Here is a 25,232-nt window from a genome sequence, read left to right as displayed (position 1 = left end):
TGGATAAAGAAAATGGGGAATACAGTGTCATTTTTCACAGATTTAGAAAAATATTATTCTAAAATTCATATGTAATCAAAAAAGAGCCCGAGTAGCCAAAGCAATCTTAAGCAAAAAGAGTGAAGCTGGAGAAATCACATTACCCAACTTTAAACTATGCTACAAGGCTACAGTAACCAAAACAGCATGGTCCTACAATTGGACCTTAGAAAGAATAAAATCCTGTCATTTGCAACAATACAGATGAACCTATAGGACATTATGTTAAGTGAAAGAAACCAGGCACAGAAAGACAAATACCACATGCTCTCACTTATATGCGGAATCTAAAAAAGTGGATCTCAAAGAGGCAGAGAGTAGATGGTGAGAATAACATCTAACATTTTAAGGCATTCAGAGCATATGTAGACATAAATGATCTCGTTTATGGGGCTGGGGAACTCAGGAGATGCTGTTTCAAAAGAGACAACATTTCAGTTGGATAGGAGCCAAAAATTCAAGAGATTTATTGTACAACATGGTGACTATAATTAATAACAATCTGTTATATTCTTTTAAATTACCAAAAGAGTAGATGGTAAGCATTCCCACCACAAAAAAAAATGCTAATATGTCAGGTAATGCATGTGTTTAAGGCATTTTAGATTGTATACATGTTTCATAACATGTTGTACACAATAAAGATACAATTTTTGTCAATTAAAAAATTAAAAAACAAAAATTGCACACTCTATATACTAGCACCCACTAGCCATTCTCATGCCCAGCCTTCAACCTCATTCTTCCTCTGTGTTCTGACCTGGCCCCTTGTGGCTAGCAGCCATCCAGTGCAGCCAGGAGCAGCCTGGTTAGCAGTATTGAGTCAATCCAAATCCCACCCCACGTGGCCCCAAAGCCATACAGTTATATTTAACAGGAGTTATGACATGAACTGCTTCCTAGGGGCCAAGGTGACAAAGATGTCCTCTGAGAAGCAATAAAACAATAGATACACAGTGAGAATCTATATTCAGGTATTTGGGTCTCTATTCTGAGCTTGCAATAGATTTTTAATTGGCTGGTGTTTCTAAAAGGTCACCGTATTAACCTTTGAAATCTTTCCCTAATGCTTAGGATTTTTTTCTAATGCACATTTAGAAAAACACAGGCGCTTAACACATTTTGTCCAGTTAAATGGACCTCTGTGATCTGAAATTGGCATAGGCAGGTGGCTGCCAGGTCTGCACTACTTTGGGAAATAGATGTATTTCTCCTTTACCTGCTCTCCGTGGGAAGGGAAAGACGTAGAGGGAGGGAGAATGCTGACAGACAACAGCAGGGTGATTCTGTGCTCAGCATCTTGTCTTGGTGGTATATCCAAGCTGCAAGATTTATAACCTTCTTGTTACAATGTATCAGCTTCAACACTTTCAGTGAAGTCTTCAATAACTTCGATGACATCTTGCTGAGGGGTTTTGTCATTAAAAGCTGAAAGCTGGTCATTAACAAACCTTCTCTGCAATCATCTACCGCTGTGCTAACTCAGGCATGGATCTGCCTGGAAAGTTGGACTGGCTCAGAAACTTTTCAGAAGGCTGCATTTTTTGTGTGTGTGTGGGGGGGTATATTTCTTCAGGGAAAGAAAATATGCCTCCCAACCATTTAGTCATTTATTTCTCATTATTCATTATCTAGCCTTTCCATGATAGAACCAAATTCAACAAATATGTGTATAACACTACTATGTAACAGTCATGGTGCTTAGAGCTGAAGATATAATTATAAAAAAAAGACAAAGCTCTAGCCCTCAGAGAATTCACAGCACCTCCACCCCCCAAAAAAATTAGTCAATCATTTACAGAATCCTTAGGAAATGTGCCAGACTTTTTTTAGGCATCATAAGCATTATTTTGCTCATTTTTCACCACTCTTTAGAAGATCAATGTTCTTATTATCCCCATTTTAGAGATTAGATGACTGAGGTGGTTGCCTGTTTCAGAATTTTCCCTAAAGTTTTGGGCTCATTATGGGCAGAACCAGGGTCTCAAACCTATGTTTTCTCTGACTTCAAGCAAGCCCATCTACTTCAAACAAAAGTGGGCCAGGAAGAAAGCAAAGAGCATGGCATTCCAGGTGGAGGAAGGATCATAAGCCAGGCTAAAAGCACACATGTGCTGGGTAGGTATGAGAAACAGGTTGAGCACCGCTCGGATCCCCTTTCAAGATAATTTAGGTGATGGGGGCAGTATCAGCCATCGGAGCAATGGCCCCTGGCTCCCCATTCTTCCTCATCTCCATGAAAGCACTTAGACTGGAGAGGTATCCATTTGTGTGCATCTACATATGAAGCCAAAATTGCCCATTGGCTCTTAAGTATTGAGGAGTGGCATAAATGTTATGAATATAATAAAAATTCCTATGATACAAGAAAATTTTAACTATTTGAATGTCATTGAATCCCAAACATATACAAAGATTCAAGTGGCAGAACAATTCCCAGTTACTTGATAGCAGTTTCCACTGTCAATGATTTGACTTTTCACCTAATCTGGTCACCTCCCACAGGGAAATAATGAATGGAGGTGCTGCTTTCTCCTCAGTGCAATTCACACTAGAAAAAGCCAGAGGACCAATGTTATAACACACATCCAGAAGTTCCTCAAAAAGGAAGAGAAACACAGAAATATGGGGAAATAGTCTGCTATAATTTGTGGGGGGGGGATAGAAAAATAACAAGTCTTGGAATGGCATTTTTTTAATAACAAGGAGAATAACTTGGAGATAATAGATACGTTTTTAAGAGTGCACATTTTGTAATAATAATAATTGTTACCATTGGTTAAGGAGCTACTATGGGTCAGGTAGTTGCTAAGGGAATTTTACACATTAGCTCATGAAATGGAATCTCACTATAACAACCCCGCCAGAAAAAAAAATTAACCCCATTTTTATAGATAAACAAACTGAGGATTAGACAGGTTGAGCAATTTGCTAAAGGTCCCTTATTGAATAATTTGCAGATCTGGAATGCAAATCTAGTTATATGTTATTTCAACTTTTTGGTATCCTTTACTCTCACCTGCCTCTACATTACTTAAAATATAACCTATTAAAAGGTGTTTAATACAATTAAACAATGCAAAATTTAAAAGGCACTAGCTGATTTCTCTCCTTTTATTCTAAAATGATATTTTTTCTCTTTTTTTTTTCTCATATTCCAAAAGGAAACAGAAACATTAGCATACCTTTTAATGCTCGATTAATTGCTGTGGGAATCTACCTGAAGAGATCAGTAAGACCTCCAAGCGGACCCATTGATCCATCTATAGTGTCATTATGTGCCTCTCCATATGTGTGATGTCAGAGGAAAGGCTTTGTTCGTGAGAATCACAGAGCCATCATCCATCTGACTCCCTAGGTTTTGGTCACTTCTCACCTGCAGCGCTTCCCAGGAATATCTTCCTTGGCCTGTTATTATTTTTAATTGCTCACAGGGTGCTTCTTACTATTAAAGTTCTTGGCAACCAAGATCATCAGCATTACCTCGGAGGAGTCTCAGAAAATTGATTAGCAAGTTCAGCTCTGCTCTTTTGATGAGAACTAGGATATAGGGCGTCTGAGCTTTGCTCAAGGTCACAGAACCTGTCGGCTCTTCTTCAAAGACAGCATGAAGCACTTTGAAAGAATACATGCAAACCCAAAGTAACCAAACATAAGGAAAAGTTTCTGTGTGGTGGGACAAATAAACACTTTAACTCAGAGAGCCCTGAACTCACAGATTATATCTCACACCAAATAGTTAATAATAATAATAATAATATACATGCATTCAGCCTTGTTCCAGGAAATACTACTTAGTGCCTTTATTTTCTTTAGCAAATAATATAGCCTCTTTGAAACTCAGTTTCCTCATCTATAAAGTAGGAGTAATGACTTCATATCATTGTTTTGAGAAGGAAACGAGATGATGGTATCAATTACAACTCTTTTTATTCAAGAGATAGAAGCCCAATTAGAATAAGATTAAGCACAAAGAGCACTTTATTATGATGAAAGTAATGTCTCTCAAGAACTTGCATGCAGACAGATCTCAGGAAAAATGAAAAGCAGAGGCTCCAGTGCTGTCTGGAAGTTCTCCATGTTTACCTTCCTTTAATGCATAGATATCTTCCCTTCTCACTGTGCCTAAGCTTACAGGGTAGAACCGAGTCACCAGTGGCTCACAAAGCTACATCCACCCAACCCAGTCCAAGAGATTAAGAAACTAATTGGTCCACGTTCTAAGTACCAGGGAAGAACTGAAATTGCCCCAGCTCACGTCCTGTGCCTACGTTTGGACCAGTCAGTTATCTGCTGAAGGAGGAGGATTGTATTCCACTTGCATGGATGTCCCTGTGGTAAGCATGTACATGGGGAGGTGAGTATTTTATAGAAGAAAGGGGAAAGAGAGTTGCACCACAGCAGAAATAATTGGTGTCCACTACGAGAATACATAAAAAAGTTACCACACCACAGTGGGGCGCGGTGGCTCATGCCTGTAATCCCAGCACTTCGGGAGGCCAAGGCGGGCAGATCATGAGGTCAGGAGATCGAGACCATCCTGGCTATGGTCTCTACTAAAAATACAAAAAATTAGCCAGTTGTAGTAGCGGGCACCTATAGTCCCAGCTACTTGGGAGACTGAGGCAGGAGAATGGCGTGAACCCGGGAGGCGGAGCTTTCAGTGAGCCAAGATCATGCCACTGCACTCCAGCCTGGGTGACAGAGCGAGACTCCATCTCAAAAAAAAAAAAAAGTTACCACACCACTATACCCAGTCCAGAATAAATACATTTATGCATATGTTTTTCTTCTCAATATATATATTTCTACACATTTAAAAAGTCGTTTTTTTAAAAGGCAAAACAAAAATAGTACGTGTCTATTACAGTGAATATAGCTAGCCTACTGTTAAGATTCAGAAGAGAACATAGATGCTGTAGACAGTATATGTTTTATATGCCTAATAAACCTCTCATCAAGTAATTTGAAGACAAAATAGAAGTTCAACAAATTGAAAAACATATTTTTTGTCCTAACCCTATTCTCTCCCGTCTCTTAGAAATCCAAATCTTTTTTTATTTTCCACTCTTATCTTCTGTTACTTTTCTATCCTTGAATCACCTTAGTTTGGGGTCGATCATTAAGCATTTAGCATTAAAGATGTAAAGGATGGTATAAAGTACTTGAAACTATTTGAAAAAACAACGAAATGCCTCTATATGATTAGCGCTGAACAGAGTACCAGGCTGGGAATGGAAACAAAAAAAAAAAGCAATTTCTGTTTATCTCTCTTTTCCCAAAAATACACAGAGCAATTTTAGGCAAGTCATTTGTGTTCCCTGTAGCCATCCATAAATCTGCCGGGTAGTAACTAGCCTATTTGTTCTTCAGGATAAAGCCTGGGAATATCAATAGATTAACTATGAACAGGACCCATCTACAGGGAGAAGTGGAGAGGAATCTCAGAAAACTAGAGATTTCCCTCTCTTATCAGAAGATGAACTCCTACCCGGAAGAATCTATTTTGTGTGCAATACAAAATAATTTCTTCACTTGGGTCAAATTGCAAGAATCCAATTGCTCTCTGCCAATAAACTCCAGGCCTGAGTGAAGGATCCAGTAAATAAATTTCAGGTTTTGGAAAAAGACCACTTTGTGTCACTTTCCAGAATTCCTTCTGGTGATTACCAGTGTAATACTGAATAATTTTAGAAAGAATAATGTCGGAACCTCTCAGAATGATAAGAAATAAGTGTGGCTATCATGGTTTAAAAAAAAAAAGGAAATTTAAAGTCTTATTTTACATTGGATTTTGTTGCTATGACATGATTCCTTTTTAAGAAGGAGAAATTGGCCGGGCGCAGTGGCTCATGTCTGTAATCCCAGCACTTTGGGAGGCCAAGGCGGGCAGATCACAAGGTCAGGAGATCAAGACAATCCCGACTAAAACCGTGAAACCCCACCTCTACTAAAAATACAAAAAATTAGCCAGGCGTGGTGGCGGGAGCCTGCAGTCCCAGCTACTAGGAGGCTGAGGCAGGAGAATGGCGTGAACCTGGGAGGCAGAGCTTGCAGTGAGCCCAGATAGCGCCATTACACTCCAGCCTGGGTGACAGAGCAAGACTCTGTCTCAAAAAAAAAAAAAGAGGAATTAAATTTGGGAAGCAACAAATAATAGGAGAGGAGGTGCTAACTTGCCTAGAAATGTGTGTTACCAGTTAGAGGTTATTCCTTCATGACTGTTTTCAAATATGTTAAGAATTCATATGAAAAGAATTCCATGGAGGGAAAAGAGATACTAAAATAACATTATCTTAAAACACAACTCACATTTTCCATACGACAATAAAAATGTTTCTAACTGGGCTGCTTGGTTACAGCTTAAATGCAACATACATTGATGGAGGACTTGTGCCATTTTTAAGTTTATTGCACAGATGCTTAATTTGGGTTCTTTAAAAATCCTGTCATTTCATTTTTTTTTGGTAGTTAGGATATTAAAATATGCAAATAAGCATGTTATAGTTGATCAGTGCTAATCTATTCTGTAATAACTGATGTTCTCTCCCAACAGCCACCACTCCTTCTGTTCTTGTCACCTTCACCTGGGAGTCACAAAATGCTGAAGACAGTCACTTTTCACTTGATTCAATTTCAGGAGGTTGTAGCTAGGCCAAAATCCTCCACTTCCTCTTTCCTAAATACTTTTTCCCCCTCTCCTAATTATATGGCTTTGCATTGATTTACATGGATTTCAGCTTTCAAAAATTATTGGTCTTTGCTGAATGCAAATAAGCAAATGGGAAAATTATATTAAGTTTGCACAATTGATCTTTCATCATTTCAAATGGTACCTTTGAACAGTTCCTGAAATGTTTGTCTGAAATACTCCCAGCGTTGAGTGTCATCAAGAGGCGCTGGGTCACTCTGGGGAAACCCATTCTCAGTGATGTAAATTACAGGGTTATTATATGTATCCTAAAAAAAAAGAACAGAAGTTTTATTCCAAACAGATGTTTTAAAAAAAGAAAGCTCATAAAATCAGGTACATTACCCTCTATCTTCTGTAAGCTACAACCCCAAAACTAGTTTTCATCAAATTGCACTGACCCTATTAACTTAATTTTCCATGCACTGACCTTTTATAACTAACAATGGAAACGCAAAACTGTGCAAATGTCCATGAAGACAGTCAAATGACTCTTATTATAATGAGAAGACAGAAATATCTTTCTTCCATCAGCATCTGTTGATTGTCACTGCTCCTTAACCCCTCAGTCCTGCCAGTAGCTACATTCTACATCCCCCATAGGAGGGGTTCTGAAAACCTGTAATTGAAATTTTAATTTTAGCTAACTGGATGTCATCCACTATAGCTGAGACTCAAAAAAAGGATCCAACTATCTCAATCCTTAAAATGTCTTTTATAATCATAGTTGTGACACCAGATTGAAAAATATGTCCAAATTACTTCTATAGCCACAACTAACTTTAACAACAAATCCTAGACTTTGACCACTGCTTTTGAAGCCTTTACCGGCTAGTTACCCCTCATCAACTCAAATCCTAATCTGCTCTTCCCAGGCCAGCAAATGTATATGCTATTACCTAAAGTAATTCTTTTTTCAGGTCCATATATATATATATATATATACATATGCCTGTCTTGCCCACCTTCACATAATTGGGTGTACATGGACACACAAAAAATCATGCATTTACCTTAATATATTTCAGTAGTTTACATACTCCCCATGGTACCACGTAGATCCAATCCACATTTTTCCAAGATGGATCTGGAAAAAATTCAATTTCCGCATCCTGGAGAATACCTAGTTCTCCTTTCTTGTTCTCCTGGTACTTGATTAAGCGAGTTGTATAATATTGCACAGCAAAAAAATCAGCAGTGCCTTTGATCATTTTCTTCTCTTCTTCAGTGAATTCTGGAAGCCTCGATGATGGATAGCCTTGCTTTTGACTCATGGAGGCAATCTGAGACTTGACAACTTCAGGATAATCACCATCGATGAATATGGGTTTAGCAAATAAATCCAGATGGAAAGTGATGGCTCTTTTAGCAGCTTCCTGGTCAGACACTGAGTTGGGATCTGCTGGTTCCAACCAGACCGCAAAAAGTGATAGAGACACCATACCTTTCTGCTTTTTTCGAAATAAGGAATCATAGCTGTGCCAGGATCTGGCATGAGCCTTAATCAAATTATGAGCTGCCTGATAACCTCCAGTCCCAAAGTGAGGGATACCCGGAGGAAACATACCTAAGTCATATGACATCACAGAAAGAACATTAGCTTCATTTATGGTGATCCACTGCTTGACACGATCCCCAAAGGTACTGAAGCAAAACTGAGCATATTTGTCAAAGGATTCAATGATTGCCTCTGACAACCAACCTCCTTGGTCTTCTAAAGTCTGAGGCAAATCAAAGTGGTAGAGGGTCACAATGGGAGTAACCCCATTTTTTAACAAATCATCGATGATCTTGTTGTAATAATCAATTCCTAGGAGGAAAAAGAAAGTGCCCTAAGAAGAAAAGTTATTTGTAGTATATTGGCAATAAATTTTAAAAGGGAGAATATCAAAAACAATTTTCTGAATGACTTTTATTCAAAACAAGTTTTACTACTTCCTTGATATAATCAATGAAAGACTGAGAGGAAACACTGAGAATTCCAAAGAAGAGTAGTTGATCAGGAAGTAGGAGTTTAATGGGGTGACATGATTGAAAGATAAACGTATTGAAATGGATACATTTAGGCAGATCGCTGTTATCTAACTTTGTGTTATTTTCATACATATTGAAATGATTTCATGCATTTGTATGTATGCTCATTTTTGTCTCTTAGCCCCACTAGAATATAAGCCCCATGATAGCAGAAGGCTTGTTTAATTCACCTCTGGATCTCCAAATCCTGGGATAGTACCAGAAATTTAGAGGCTAATAAATATTTCTTTAATAAATGCATGGATCCGATGGTATTAAATATAAAGTAAAGGAATTGATCCAGATGACTGCCTTAATGCTTTTCCAGGTCAACTAGTCTCACAAGTCTAGGAAAAGAGACCTACTGAGAATGAACAAGAGCTCAGCATCTGCCCCAGAATCTGGGTTACAAGGACAGACAGCCAGAGGCTTAGGACATTAAAAGCACCCAGTTGGAGGTTTGCTCTAAAACTCCAACATAGTTCATGGGGATACATAGCCACCTCTGGCTCTCATCTGATTTTTCCAGGACTGCAAGTATGTAAGAGAGAGTTTTTAGGCTTGCTGCAGAGTTCAGAAGAAAGTTTCTAAATTGAACATGACCTGGCTCAGAATTTATGTCAAGAATTCACTGAGTCTAGCTTAATGATGACGATTAGCTTGGAAGAGGCTTTCTGGGAAGAGGCTGATGTTAGTATTTCATGTGGTTTTATATTTAAAAATATGGAGGCAACCTAAGCTTAGACAAGAGAAGCTGCCCTGTTTTAAGAAGTTGTTTCCTGGATAAAAATTATGAAGTCATATGTAGAAGTGTGTTGCATTGAAAGTCTGCCTAAGGTCCCTTTCTTTTTTCTTAAGAGCCTCCAATTTTTAAAAATAACAATTCACACTTTTGTATGTATTTCATTAATTCGATCATTTGTTTGTTAATTCCTTAAATACACATTAATAGAGAAACTACTATATGCTTGACATACAAACATAAGCAAAACAAACACCACCCTTGTCCTCAGGGAGCTTAGTAGCAGAGACTACAGAGAAATTCATAAACAATTACAATAGAGTAGTAGATAAATTACAGAGTCCTATTTAAACATATGAGAAGGGATATCCATCCTAAACTCAGGGTATTTGAAAATATTCTGAAAGCAACATAGCGTAATTGTTTCAAGAGTGAATTATGGTGCCAGACCACCTAAATTCTGTCCTAAGTCTTTCACCTAGTAGCTCTGCAACCTTGGGCAAGATCCTTAATATCTCTGAATTATCTTTTCCTGTATGAGAAATGTGGATAATAAGAGAAACCTTCTTCAGTTAACTGTTGTGAGAGTTTAATGAGCTGGTAAATTAAACATGTTTAGAACAGTTCTTGGCATATGGTAAGGGCTCAGTACAGGTTAGCTATCACCGAAATAGTAATTATTATTGTTATTAGTGACATCTAAGCTGATATTTAAAATATGAATACAAGTTAATCGCTTAAGGTAAGGAGAAAAATGTGATCAAGGAAGAGAAAAAGAGGAAACAAAAACAATACACAAAGGAAATGTTAAAACAAAGACCACTCAAATGAGAAAAACAGACTATTTACTCAGAGTTTGCTATAGCAAGAGAGTCAGCCACCAATACTTGCATTTGGCAGGTATTCAAATACAGTCAGGACAGAGGAAAAGCTTTAGAGTGGAAAAAAGAGAACCCTTGGGTGTGCCCTGATTAAAGTTTGTTGGCCTTGGGAAGCTATTGGAGAGCTAACTAGAAGCAGGGCATCCTTTCTGATTAGTTTGGGGAGCACATTTGGTTTTCTCAGGTTGCTCCTGAGTTGGAAGCAGAGAGCAGGGGGTTAGAAAATAGAGAAGGTATCAGTTGACCACACTGTGACTACTCTGGGCTGATTGCTGCAGAGGCTAAGGTTTGGCTTCCTGGGTTTCCTTTGTCAGTCTGAGTTTTATTATCAGATATGACCTGGCCAGTGTTTGTATATTCACTCACTTTCTGGAAATAAAAAGTTCAGTATAAGGAGGAATAGAATGGTCAAAAGAGGAATAGAATGGTGAGAGATGAGCAAGGTAAGCAGAAGCCAAATTATGCACAATCATGTGTTTTCTCTCTGTCTGGGTAAGTGGGTATTTTTGACACCATCTCATTTATTTTGCAAACTGGAATGTACTGTGAATCATGCATAACAACTCCATATTTGGAAGACACACTTCTGTGCTATTTCTCACTTGGTAGCAGAATAACTCATCCTCTCCCCAGAGATGTCCGTTCTCTAATCCGTGAAACGGGTGAACATGTTACCTTCCATGGCAAAAGGGACTTGGCAGATGCAATTAAGGTATGGACCTTGAATTGGGAAGAGTTCCCTAGAGTGTCCAGGTGGATCCAATATAACTACATGAGTTTTTAGAAGTGGAAGAGTAAGACAGAAGAGTGGGTCAGAGAGATGCAACAACGGAAGAAGAGGAGGAGAAGTGGCAGCTTGAGAGAAACTCAACCCACTACTGCTGGCTTTAAAAATGGAGGAAGAGGGCCAGGCGCGGTGGCTCATGCTTGTAATCCCAGCACTTTGGGAGGCAAAGTTGTGCGGATCACGAGGTCAGGAGTTTGAGACAAGCCTGATCAACATGGTGAAACCCCATCTCTAAAAAAATACAAAAATTAGCTGGGTGTAGTGGTGCGCGCCTATAGTCCCAGCTGCTCAGGAGTCTGAGGCAGGGGAATGGCGTGAACCCGGGAAGCGGAGCTTGCAGTGAGCCGAGATCGCACCACTGCACTCCAGCCCGGGCAACAGAGTGAGACTCCATCTCAAAAGAAAAAAAAAAGAAAGAAAATGGAGGAAGGAGACCCACCATGAGCCAAGGAATGCAGATGGCTTCTCAAAGCTGAGAACAGTCCTTAGCTGATAGCCAGAGCAAGATAATAAAGACCTCAGTTCTACAATCACAAGGAACTGAATTCTGCCAACAACCTGAATGCACCAAGAGACAGACTCTTCCAAAGATCCCTCAGAAAGAGACACAGACGTGCAGGTATCTTGATTTCAGCCTCACAGACACCCATGTCAGACTTCTGACCTGCAGAACTCTAAGGTAACAAATTTTTGTTGTTTTAAGCAGCTAATATGTGATAATTTGTTACAGTAGCAATAAAACTAACATACTCATGAAATTTTATAAACTATCCTTTTTTCTCTCAAAGAGAGTATTTCACCATCCCACCCCTGGGCCCCCATAAACCCACATTTCTATATTTGTGAATGAGATATCTAAAGATAAAATGATAAAATAATCTGGGTATTGGTATGTGTGAGGGTTTTCATAGCCAACTCTTTCCATTGACTTTGAACATGAAAATAATATTAGCTTTCATTTATTGAACTCGTACTATGCATTTTGCCAAATCCAAGCGCTAAGCTCTAGAGATAGGTGTTTTTATTCCCATTTAAAAATGAGAAAACAGATTCAGAGAGTCTCAATGTTGACAAATGGCATGGCCCACATTTAATCCCAGTCTGTCTCACTACAAAGACTGAACTGTTCTCACTATGACATCCCACTTCTCATGTTAACTAATGTTCCTGAGCCGGAAACATGTGACTCTATTTTACCAGCGTTCATGGTCACCTACTTCAGACCTGATCACAATATCAAATTCCTTTTTCCCCCTTTGTGGAGAAGTCATTAATGATGGCCAATCAATGTAATTCAAACCACATGATAACTGTCTGTTGAAAGGAAGATAAGTAAATTTTAAGAAAATTTTCTTCTCACTCATCAGCACAGCAGAGCAACAGAGCATTGCATAATTAACATTCACTATCCCAGAATTAAGCACTTCACTTCTCGATCATACAGTTTATTCAATATTGTAATGAAACTTTTCCATGAAGTGGAGCGGGAATTTTTTTTTTTTTTTTTTTTTTTGAGATGGAGTCTCCCTCTGTCGCCCAGGCTGGAGTGCAGTGGCATGATCTTGGCTCACTGCAAGCTCTTCCTCCCAGGTTCACGCCATTCTCCTGACTCAGCCTCCCGAATAGCTGGGACTACAGGCGCCCGCCACCACGCCCGGCTAATTTTTTGTAGTTTTAGTAAAGACAGGGTTTCATTGTGTTAGCCAGGATGGTCTTGATCTCCTGACCTCATGATCCACCCACCTCAGCCTCCCAAAGTGCTGGAATTACAGGCTTGAGCCACCGCACCCGGCCAGAGTGGGATTTTTAAGAGGAGAGCCCCAGACCCAGAAAACTCAGTCAAAGGATCTTGGATAAATCACTGGTCTCTCTACACCTCAGTATCCTCATCTGTAAAATGGGAATGTTAATACTGCCACCTTAGGAGCATGTGAGTATTGAATGAGAATAAAACTGCCAAAGGGTTATTTAACTTTGTTTTTCAGAATAGTGTAAGTCACTGATAAACAAATTCTCCTTCTGAATAAATGTGTATTTTTTAAATGATCACCTGTTACCAATCTAGGGATTTTGAAACTTTGAGAGGTCATTTGGATCCCATTCTGCTTCTGGGTATTTAGGACAGAATTGATTATTTTAAGGATTAAAACTTCTATAGCTTTCTTTCATAGTCAATATTATCTTCTCTAATTAAGCTGATTTCTGCCTATTTGATCTTAGAAAATATGAAACATATTTGAGGTAGAGGTCTTTTGGATATAACAAAAACCAACCCAGATGAACTCATATACAAAGGTGGCACTGGGGGCAGTTGGGTAGTAGATATAGATGCAGTGGACATTATTTTAAATGACAGAAATAGATCAGGGACTCAATGACAGAAAATAATGGCAAGTGGAAGTCAAAAGAATTGAAGTTGGGAGCTGAGAAAATCTTTGCTTCTCAGGGAAAACTGATCTCTTCCATCCCAGCTTCTCTCAACACATCTGCTCCATTTCGTCTTTCAGAAACAGCTTTCCCTTCTGATTCAAGCAGCAGAGACAAAACAGAAAAATATATACTTAAGAAAGAACCAGTTTTCTTTACACACTCAATCTGTTGTGGTCTCAAAATGGCCGTCCCACCTGCCAAAGCTACTTCTGAGCCCCAGTGCCAACCACCAACCAACTCAGCCTCTCAGTACCTCAATTCCAGACATCCTTGAGGGAGGAAAACAATGGAGCAAGCTCCTATTTTTCCATGAGGTCACAGCTCATTATAAGTCCAGGGAAAAATGTCTTTCCTTTGTCCTGTCAGCTGTGACCTGGGGTCAAGCAGGATTATATAAAACAAAGATATAGGGGAATTCCCCTAGAAGAGGGCGTGGCTCGAACTTGCAAAGATGATGTCTCAAATTAAAAAAAAAATTGACCTAGAATCCTCCTTCAACAAAAAAAAGTAACATAGAATTCCTTTGATCTCATGCCTACCATGCATCAAGTTTACAACTTTCTTTGGTTCACACCTTTCTAGATTCACACCATTCACACCATCGGTTTCTTTTCTTTCTTTTCTTTTTTTTTTTTTTTTTTGACAGAATCTCGCTCTGTCACCCAGGCTGGAGTGTGATCTCAACTCACTGCAACTTCTGACTCCCTGGTTCAAGCGATTCTCCTGCCTCAGCCTCCCGAGTAGCTGGGATTACAGGCACGTGCCACCACACCCAGCTAATTTTTGTATTTTTAGTAGAGACGGGGTTTCACCATATTGGCCAGGAGGGTCTTGATCTCCTGAACTCGTGATCCCCCACCTCCCATCAATTTCTTTAACTGCTCCTGTGTTCTCTTGCCACACTGCCTGTATTAGTTTCCTATTGCTGCTAAAACAAATTACCACAAACTTAGTGGCAGGACCAAGACAAATGCATTATGTTACAGTTCTGGGGGCCAGAGGTCCAAAACAGTGCTTATTGGGCTAATCAAGATGTCAGCAAAGTTATATTCCTTCTGGAGGCTCTCAGGTGGAATTCATCTTTCTACCTTTTCCAGGTGGCAGAGGCGACCTGCATTCCTTCCCTCATGGCTTCTTCTCCCATCTTCATCCTCACCTCTTCTCTTTGACCTCTGCTTTAATCATTATCTCTTTTACCTCTTCTCTCTGACTCTGATCTTTCTACCTTTCTCTTTTAAGGACCCATGTAATTATACTTGGACCACACAGATAGTCCAGGACAATCTCCTCCTCTCAAAATCCTTCCCTTAATCATATCTGTAAAGTTTGTTTTACCATGCAAGCTAATACACTCACAATTCCTAAGAATCAGAACATGAACACCTTCAGAGGGCCATTTTCAGTCTATTATAGTGCCCAACATAGAATACAAGATTAATGCTTGTTTAGTTAATTTATTTAAACCATCCCTGCTAAGAGAACTCATATTTTAAATCTTCAAGTGAGCACTAAATTCTGCATAAATATTCCCTTTTTTTATTTCCAATACTTGGGCTTCCCACTAATCGTCTGAAATTTACATTTGTGGCAGATATGAACATGCACTTGAACAGTTGAGAAATACAGGAATATGTGATTTCAGTTGCCAACTCAATCTTTTCTTGTTAAACTTTGAAAAACTGACATTTGAAAGAGACAGTCTGTAACAATTCCACTTCATAAAAACATTCTTCTAGTTTGGGGACACAGAATTTTACAAGTTTCCAAATGTCCTATAATCAAGCTTTGAAATGGATAGTCAAACACAAAAAGGTCGTTCCTTGGGAAGAACAGTGACAGGGATTTTCTAATTCTTCGCATGCTTTTTGAGAAAATATTTAAATGGGAAAAAAGAGATGGCCTTTCCAAGTTAAAACCATTCCAATTGCTTCAACAGATCACTGCACAAGAATGAACAACTGCTTATTGAAATTCCACCTCCTGGATGCACCTCCAGTGCCCTCTTGTTCAAAGCAAAGTCTGTAATATTAATCAGCCATGGTTTTACCAAAGCTAGGGCCAAACACAAAAATCTCAGTGCTACAGGCACGTGATCCCCACGTGAGATCTGCATGAGCAATTTCTCCACAATATTCAGGTGGTTTCCATGACTTCAGTACCACCACCCCCACTCTCCAGTGGTTTCGGTTTCCTTGCTCTTGGATTGCTGATCTACAGTGTGTCTCTACAAACTTCTGAGTATCTCAAGTTGGTTTTCAAAGCTGAATATGTTGACATATTGGTACAGGTACATAATCTTGTGTCTGAAAATCTTAGGGGCATATGAGTTCAGAATGTTTTAGAAAGGAAACACAGAGCATATACCATATATTAACACTCTCAGTGAATCTGAGTGAGTATCTCCTAATATGTCTGTAGTAAAATAAATAAATATTATCACCAAACAGAATAAATATTCACAACAATTCAGTTAGCTTTTGCTGCCAATTTAATTTTAGAAAGATTTAGTAATAAGAGCCTTTTGATTTTAGAACTTCAGATACGGCACTGTGGACCAATACTACAAGTTGGTGGGTTTTTGGTTTCTGCTGTTGTTGTTGTTGTTTACCATCCAAATGGAAGCTCAGTAAAAACTCCAAACCCCTAGAATGAGTACAAGAAGTTTTAGTACCATAAGGCCTCCACTTCATTTAACCAACAGGGAAACTGTAGCACAGAGAATTCAAGTGGTTTGGCCAAACTTACTGAGCTCTAGACTAGATGCAAGATTTTTTATGTCAGACAAGCCTAGGTTGAACCTAACTAAATTTGTCATCTTGGCAAATTTATGCCTAACCTTATTTCCCATGTTAGCATTATTGCTTCTGTTTAGAGATGCCCCTCATTCATAGGACTGTTATGAACATTAAATCAACAAAAGTATGTGCAATGTTTGCATGGTGAGCTCTGTATATCATATGCTCAATGAAAGGCAAGCATTACTACCCTTAGAGTTATTTTTATGATTGTTATTGACCTAATTCAATTGAATTCAATAATTTTTACTGAATCCCTTCCATGGATGGTGCTGGACTAGATTACAAGGGTAACAGGGCAGAATTATCTACCCATTACACTGTAAACAATTCCAGGGGTTCTCTAATATGAATGTCATGAGTACTTAGCACAGTCCCTGACACAATAAACATTCAGCACACTTTGGTTGAATTGAATTAAACTTAAGGCACCCATAGTCTAACATGGGATATAGTAACAGTTAACAATGAAGAATGTGAGAAATATCTTAAGAGCTTCGCAAAGTGCCATGAGAATAAAAAAAAAAAAAGAGAGATTTTTTTTCTGGCTTAGAATAGAGAAATACTGTAAAGAAGAGGGCAATTGTGCTAGCCCTGAACAGCAGGACAGGCCTTCAGCAGGTATAGTTGGGGTTAATGAAAGCTCATTCTAGGCAGAATAAAAAGCTTAAGCAAATTCCTACAAGGTGGAAAACTGTATGGTATGTTTAATAAGTAGTGGGTTACTTATACTTACAGATAAAAGATTATAGACCTGTACCAATGTGTGTTTAGGATATTGCGTGATCATACACGTGGGGTAATCACCTCCAAAACTGCAAAGTTTTTGGAGGTGATTAAGTCTAAGTCAAATAGAGCCTGGAATGATATATGAAGGAGTATGGACTGTATATTGAGGCTTTGAGTGACTAAATTATTACTACTATTATTATTATTATTATTATCTGAGACCAAATTTCGCTCTTGTTGCCCAGGCTGGAGTGCAATGATGCGATCTTGGCTCATGGCAACCTCTGCCTTCTGGGTTCAAGCGATTCTCCTGCCTCAGCCTCCCAAGTAGCTGGGATTACAGGCATACACCACCACACCCAGCTAATTTTGTATTTTAGTAGAGACGGGGTTTCTCCATGTTGGTCAGGCTGGTCTCGAACTCCCGAACTCAGGTGATCCACCTGCCTCAGCCTTCCAAAGTTCTGAGATTACAGGCATGAGCCACCACGCATCTTGCTTCATTTTTAGCAGTAGATGATCCAAACCAATACGATTTGGGTCAACCTTTAGGAAAATTGCTATGATGGCATCTTATAGAAAGCAAAGGACAGACAGAAGGTGAAAACAGATAGATTCATCAAGGATATATCAAAAAGTCCTTGTAAGAATGATAAATACCCAAACTAGGGCAGGGGCAAAAAGAGGGATTAGAAGATAAGTTAAAAAGTCATAATTAGAATGGACTATATTCAGCAACCCATTAGATGGAGGAAGAAAAGACAAGAAAGGATTCAAAGGTTATTTTTGTTTTTTAGACTTTGGAGTAAGGTGGTGCCAGAAAGAAAGGAGAATACAGATGTTGGATTAGGAAGATTGAAGATAATAAGTTCACTTTTAAACTGAACAACAAATTACCTTCCATTCAACATAAAAAATAAAACTAGTCAGAGATGGCAAGAAAGTATACATCTAATCAGCAGCAACTGGTCATGGGCCAATGTCTTTAGAATCAGGGAATGAGCCTGCTGATCCTAAACTGTCCCTATTTTGGAGAAGCTACTCTAGGGCTGATACTACACGTGAGTTCATGAGTTGCAATTCTATTTCATGATGTGAAGATTATCCCAACTTAAATAAAATGAGCTTTTCAAGTGCACAAGCCCATCTAGGAATTGTCATCAAGGGTTGTTCTATATAGGGAATCACATAAGTTACTCACGAATAATGCCTTTGTATTAATGAAGGTTCTTGGGATGGGAAGCATGGCGAGGCAAGCAGGTGTTCTCTTAGGTCATACAAGTGAGGCCTGTCCTTAAATTTAAGAGGCTCTCCTTAAATTTTATGCCCTAGACACCTCATTGCTTCACCTAGTCCCAGCACCATAGATGGTGTAAAATCTTTTCTAAGACAAAGTAGTAATAAAGTGTCTTCATTAAGAAACCATATGTCGTAGTGCAAGGGTTGGCAAACTTTTCCTGTAAAGGACCAGATAGCAAATATTTGAGGCTTTGCAGGCCATATGGTCTCTGCCCTAGCTACTCAATTCTGCCATTAAAGTGGAAAAGTAACCATAGATGATGCATAATGAACAGGCATGTCTATGTTTCAATCAAACTTTATTTACAAAAATAGATGACAGGCCACATTTGACCTTCAGGTCATAGTTTTCCAACCATGTTTTGTAGAAAGAGCTAGCTAGACCTTAGGTTTAAATAACTGAGCGGCCATTTGCCAAATATGTGGATTTGGACATACACCTCTGTAAAATATGATCACTATGCCTTCCCTACTGTTGGTGAGAATTAAAGAAAATGGGTGAAAATGCCTCATAAATAACAGGCATTCAATAGAGCAATGACTGGTCCTTTTACTTACAAGGCATAATAAGAAGAATAGCTAACACTTACTAAATGCTTTTGAAATGTTAGCAACCGTGTTAAGCACTTTACAAAGATTATTTCATTTAACCTTCCAACAACTCTCTGAATTAGTCACTATTACAGCATTCTTTTCTGTTCATGGGGAAACTGAGGCACTGAGAGATGCCCAAGAGATGTTTATACAGATAGTAAGTGATGTAGCTGGACTTAATCTTCAGTAAGTGAACTCCAGGGGCCTTGGTGTTAACCCCATGCTAGTTAATTAGCTCCACTAATTCAGCCCTAATTGAAGTGCTTAGAATCATCTCAAGTTCTTCAGGACTTTTCATAACTCATCACAGGGTTACACAACTGAAAATAGTTTAATACAAATTTTTTAAATTTACCTTCAGATTAACACTCACGTTACATAATAAAACACTTATTCTAACCTCCCTCCCACTCATCACCCCCAGAAAAGATCTCAACAGTCAAAGAAAACCAAAATATTACTGTGAAAACTAATGCAAACCCATTTCAAAAAATTTATCCCATAATCACTCTAAAAACTTGCAATTTGAAAGCTACATTGCAGAATAGCATACTGGATTAATTATGCCAGACTGCAGCAATAACCTTGAATTAAAGCTGCAACCTTCTATTTTTAAGAAACACTTGCCTTTCTGGTTGATGAAACCTGTCGTCCCATCAGGTAACAGACGTGACCAGGAAAGAGAGAAGCGGTAATGAGTCAATCCAAGCTGTTTGATACATTTCAAATCTTCCTCCCACAGAGTGTAGCTGCCACAAGCTACATCGCCAGTCTGGTTCTTGAAAACTCTCTCTCCTCCCTGATGAGTAAATGTGTCCCAGACACAAGGGCCTTTTCCATCTGCATCCCAGCCTCCTGAGAAAAAGAAGAAAATGAAACAGTTACACTCTTGACATCAAGAGGCATATGTGGAATGTAAATATTTGTCACCAAAAGAACATACCTCATTAACTCAATGTACCATATTTATAACCTTTAAAATATAAGCCTTTAAAATAACATGCATGAGCGGATTATGTGTTTAGCTGTCCTTGATCCCTGAAGCTGACTGGTGGCAAATGAAAAATTATTGCATAGCGCCGCTGCATAGCAGGCTTTCATGTTTCATTATCTGAAGACCTCCCAGCTGGTAAACAGAGGCAGGCCCTGGCTTATGAATATCTGAGTTGAAAACATCTCCTCCTTGCAAACATTCCCCCTGGCCATGACTAACATGCCTTGTCCTTATGCGTGACAGGATCTTGGGACTTTATGTGTGGCCCTTGACATTTAAACCCTATTTTCCTATTCTCTGACAATGGAGGCTGTGCTGGTCCAGTCCATCTCTGGAGGGGAGGGAGCCCTGGTTTCCACCACTGCTTATACGATATTGCTATCTGAAACTCATTCATTCATACTGCCCTTGACTCAACAAATATTATGTGTCAAGCAGGATAACAAGCCCAGGGGATACCAGAGTGAACTATGTTGTGTCTCATGTTTTGGGGAATTTACGTAACAGCCAATGTAAAGGCCCTTTCTTTTTCAGAAACGAGGGAAGGGCATTTATCCAAGTGTGGGCTGGAGTCAGAGGAGGTCTCTTTCTGCTCAATTTTCCTGTAAGCCTACAACTGATCTAAAATATAAAGTCCATTAATTTAATAAAAGAACATATCCAGTATGTTTATCATATTTTATATATTTAAAAATATATGTAACAATCCACGTATATTCTGAGCATATACATGTGAGGTAGAAGTATCGCATGCCTGGGAATGATCAATTCAGGTGAGTGATTACCTTTGAGGAAAAGAGAAGGAAGTGGAACCATGGAGGGGTCTACAGGGCCTTCAAATGCATCTCTTATGTTTCACTCATTAAACAAGGTAGAAGGTATATGAGGGGCTGTTTATTACATTTTTGGCAATCCCTTTCTATAAGCCTAATATATAATATCTTATAATTACTATGTAAGAAAAGAGGTCACAGCTGGAGTAAAATAGATGAAAACAATTACCTCATTGAGCATCTACATACTCATATTTTGTGCACAGATCTAAAAGGATTAGGTATAGTCTCCAGTTCCAACCTCAGGACAGCAGGAGTGATAAGTCATGGACGGCGCCATGAGGATACAGAAGAGGCTGCTAAAAGGAGCTCTGACAAAAGCAAAAGTGGTCATTGATATCAAGGTAGAATACTAAATATCTATTCAAAAAAAGCTATGAATATTCGAAAGTATTTTACTTTGGAGCCATGTAATTATAGAAGCAAATAGTTTTACACAATCCAGTGACTCTCAAGTTATGTCTACATATGGGGTTTAGAGGAATGGGGATAAAAGAAGAGTGGTATTCATAGAATGAAATAGGAACAAACACAAAACTAAAATTTTTGAAGTATGATGCTCATAGTTTTGAATGATTGATTTAATACATGAAAAAGCTTAATCTCAGCTTAAGCAATGGTGTATTGGTATATATTTAACTGGCTATATGTTAAAAAATAAGTATAGACCTATATGTATATATGTTTATTATCAATTTTGCTGATATAAAGTATGCATAATACACAATTTACAAATAATAAACTATGCAATGCCCTTTTCTGTGAACTCCATATAACCAACTGATTCTCATATAGGATGCTCTTTTAGATTTTTGGCAAAGTCATATTGGTAGCTATATTAGTCTGTTCTCACACTGCTATAAAGATACTATCTGAGACTGGGTAATTTATGAACAAAGGAGGTTTAATTGACTCACAGTTCTGCATGGCTGGGGAGGCCTCGGGAAATTTACAATCAGGGGGAAGAGGAAGCAGGTACTTTCTTCACAAGGTGGCAAAAAAGAGAGAAGTAGTGAAGGAGGAGCGCTTTCTTTCAAACACTTACAAACCCATCAGATTTCATGAGAACTCATTCACTATCATGAGAACAATGGGGGAAACCACCCCCATGATCCAATCACCTCCCTCCCTTGATGTGTGGGGATTACAGGACCTTCCCTCAACACACGGGGATTACAATTCAAGATGAGATTTGGGGCAGGGCGCGGGGGCACCATAGAGCCAAACCATATCAGTAGCCAACCTACAGTTGTAATTTGACAAATGCATGTAGTTATCATATGACTTTTGGTTAATATTTTTCCTTATATTCACAGGTAGAAGGAAAAGAAGACAAAAGATGTACCAGAACTTCACTTTTTACCACTGACACGAGCTACTTCTTTGTTGAATCAGGTAACAGTTTTCAAACACTGGTAACTGTCTCCTCAATTTTTGGTGCTACTCACAACACCACAGCCACAGACATGACACACTTTTAAGTTGAATCCATATTATTAACATGTTTCCTATCACTTTCTAAGGTCTAGACAACTAGCAAAACAATAAATCAAATAATGACTTCTAGCATCAGCCAATTTCTGCAACCATGATATCCGTGAAGGCAGAGCTGGGAAAAGAAGAGCCGTAGCAGCACACCATATTACAGTGTTTCTCCTATTCAAATACAAGAGATCTAAATTACCTCAAGGCCATAGAAAACAGTGAAATTTGGTAATTAGTTAAGTAATGATTTTAAGTATTTACTAACTTTGTTTTTGATATAATTTACCTATAAGCTTATATAAGTAATTTTTAATAAAGTCTGTGTTAAAGAATCAGCTCACACAAAAACTCAATAGGCTCTCATGAGCCAGCACAAGCGGGCTTCACCACATCACTTACAACTAACTTGAATAAGATCACACCATTAGGAAGTAACAGTGCTAAGATTTGTATTCAGATCTTAGAAGTCTAAGATTCTGCCATTGGACCATGTTGCTCTTAGTAATAATTACGCAGAGTGATGAAGAAAAAGTCAGCTGATGACCAAACTACTTCATTTATCAAGACTAAGAAGTGCAAAACATAATCTATACATTTTGGAAAGCAGTACAAGTAACATAACTCAAACAAGTTTTGACAATTTTAACAGGTCAATGTCACTTAGCAGGAACATGTACTGAGGTGGAGTCGCTTATTCTCCACATGTACTAGGCTAGACAAAGCAGAACTAAACAACATTGTTTCTAAAAAAAACTAATCTTCAAATTGATAACTAACAATTATAACTGAAATTGGATAAAAATCATATAAAGGCCAATATTTGTTAGTAGTTTTAATGTAAATCTTACTATATGAATGATATTAATAACTCATTTGCCCATTAGAAATTTTCTCCCGTTGCAATTATGCCCACATTCTAAAAGCATGATGTCCTTTATGATGAATAAGACTACTGTTTCCAGGTGGACTGCATACTCAGAGCCATTCTCCAAACAATTATGATTGTTGGATTACATATAGGAAATACACTTTTTAATGCATTGTTACTCTAGCAGGAGGTTAGGTGACCCAAACACAAAGGGCGAGGGGTAATTTAGATGCATATGTGAGTAGTGATGCAGGCTTTTGTACTGGGAGTGTCTGCTAAGTTCAGACCATCTGAGCTTTCATTTTAATGGCTTGTGGAACAAGGGAGAAAGGAGACAAAGTCTAAGATGCATCAAAGATGAAAAGTATAAATAGAGATGGTCACAAAAAGCTGGTATGCAAGGACTTCATATCCTTTGCAAAAAAAAACTGGAGACAAACCCAACCTGCAGAAAGAGAGAACAAAAAAATTAGCTTGATTCAAACTTGGGTGGAGAGAGGAAATTACTCCTCAATATTTGTAACCACAATTCAGCCATCAAACCATTAAGTGTGAGAATGGGAAAAAGATATTTTCAGATACATGAGCTCTCAAAAATTTCCTCTCTTTGGATATTACTGGAGGATACATTTTACTAAAACAATGATGTAATCAAGAAAGATAAAGATCTAGGATCCAGGAAAAAAGAAATTCAGGAGAAGAAATTGACAAAATCACTGAGTGATATTGTATTACTCTTCTTATGTTGCTAATAAAGATATACCTGAGACTGGGTAATTTATAAAGGAAAGAGGTTTAATTGACTCACAATCCCTCAGGGCTGGGGAGGCTTCAGTAAATTCACAATCATGGCAGAAGGGGAAGCCAACATGCCTTTCTTCACATGACAGCATCAGGGAGAAGTGCAGAGTAAAGCCAGATGAACTCACTCATTATCATGAGAACAGCATGGAGGTAACCGCCCCTGTGTTTCAATTACCTCCCACTAAGTTCCTCCAATGACATGTGGGGATTATGGGAACTAGAGTTCAAGATGAGATTTGGCTGGGGACACGGTCAAACCATATTAGATATGGACTAAATTGTAGCCCCTCGAAATTTATATATTAAAGCTCTAACCCCCAATGTAACTGGATTTGGAGATAGGGTCTTGAAGGAGGTAATGATTGTTAAATGAGGTTATAAGGGTGAGGGTCTAATCCAAAATGTCTAGTGTCCTTATAAAAAGAGAGAGAGAGATCAGGAATGTGTGAACACAGACAAAAGGTATTTTGTTTTGGCAGTCCTGGCAAACTCATGCAGGAGTATAAAGGCAAAGGGAAACTTCCAGGATGATAGCTATGCAGTAGACACAGGGAGTACCCAGTCTGTTTGAGCAGGCGACAGGCTGTGAGAGCTATTTCCTCAAGAAGATGATACAAATAGAATATCTAGTATGTTGTATTAGTCTGGGTTCTCCAGAAAACCAATAAGGTAGAGATATATAGTTTTATTATAGTAATTGGCTCACTCAATTTTGGAAACCAAGAAGTCCCACAGTCTTCTATCTGCATTCTGGAGAACGAGGAAAGCTGTTAAGCTGGTGGTATAACTGAATCTAAGTCTGAAAGTCCGAGAATCAGGAGTGCCAGTGTATGAGGGCAAGAAATAAATGTCCAGCTCAGAGCAAATTTTCCCTTCCTTGCCTTTTGTTCTATTCAAACCAACTGATTAGATGATGCCCACCCACACTGATGAGAGTAATCTTCTCCACTCACTCTACCAATTCCAATGCTAATCTATTTCAGAAACACCCTCACAGACACACTTAGAAATAATATTTTACTAGCTATGTGGGCATCTCATAGCTCAGTAAAGTTGACACATACAATTAACCATTACATAAGTTTTATTTAAAAAAATAAATTATCATGGGACTTTCAACAGTCATAAAAGTAGAATAGCATGAAACCCATGTACTTGTCACACATCTGCAGCAGTCTTCAACATTTTGCCAATCTTTTTTGTCTGAATCCACCCAAGCTTCCTCATTCAATCTGTAATCATTTTATT

The 25,232-nt window shown here is 38.5% G+C and overlaps 1 long non-coding RNA gene and 1 pseudogene across 5 annotated transcripts in view; one reads left to right on the top strand and one right to left on the bottom strand.

Moving 5' to 3' along the window:
• GBA3 (glucosylceramidase beta 3 (gene/pseudogene)) overlaps positions 1 to 25,232 on the bottom strand; it is a 126,633-nt pseudogene that overhangs the window by 63,734 nt on the left and 37,667 nt on the right. For 2 of the 3 annotated variants that reach the window (NR_102355.2, NR_102357.2), the window contains exons 2-4: positions 19,628 to 19,855; positions 7,744 to 8,540; positions 6,876 to 6,999 (exon numbers count right to left, since the gene is read on the bottom strand). The product of NR_102355.2 is annotated as a glucosylceramidase beta 3 (gene/pseudogene), transcript variant 1, non-coding (transcript). The remainder of the gene's footprint in view (positions 1 to 6,875; positions 7,000 to 7,743; positions 8,541 to 19,627; positions 19,856 to 25,232) is intronic. The other variant, NR_102356.2, reaches the window with a different exon arrangement.
• LOC105374521 (uncharacterized) lies at positions 10,974 to 22,532 on the top strand. 2 transcript variants are annotated; one of them, XR_007058430.1, is made up of 4 exons: positions 11,541 to 11,832; positions 21,034 to 21,171; positions 22,144 to 22,222; positions 22,351 to 22,532. It is a non-coding gene; the product is annotated as an uncharacterized LOC105374521 (long non-coding RNA). The 2 variants fall into 2 exon arrangements; XR_007058431.1 differs by lacking the exon at positions 21,034 to 21,171 and having other exon boundaries at positions 10,974 to 11,832.

This window comes from Homo sapiens, chromosome 4, assembly GCF_000001405.40.
Source record: "Homo sapiens chromosome 4, GRCh38.p14 Primary Assembly".
NCBI classification, from domain to species: domain Eukaryota; kingdom Metazoa; phylum Chordata; class Mammalia; order Primates; family Hominidae; genus Homo; species Homo sapiens.
The sequence above is the reverse complement of the archived record's forward strand: the minus strand, read 5'-3'. Positions and strand labels throughout refer to the sequence as shown.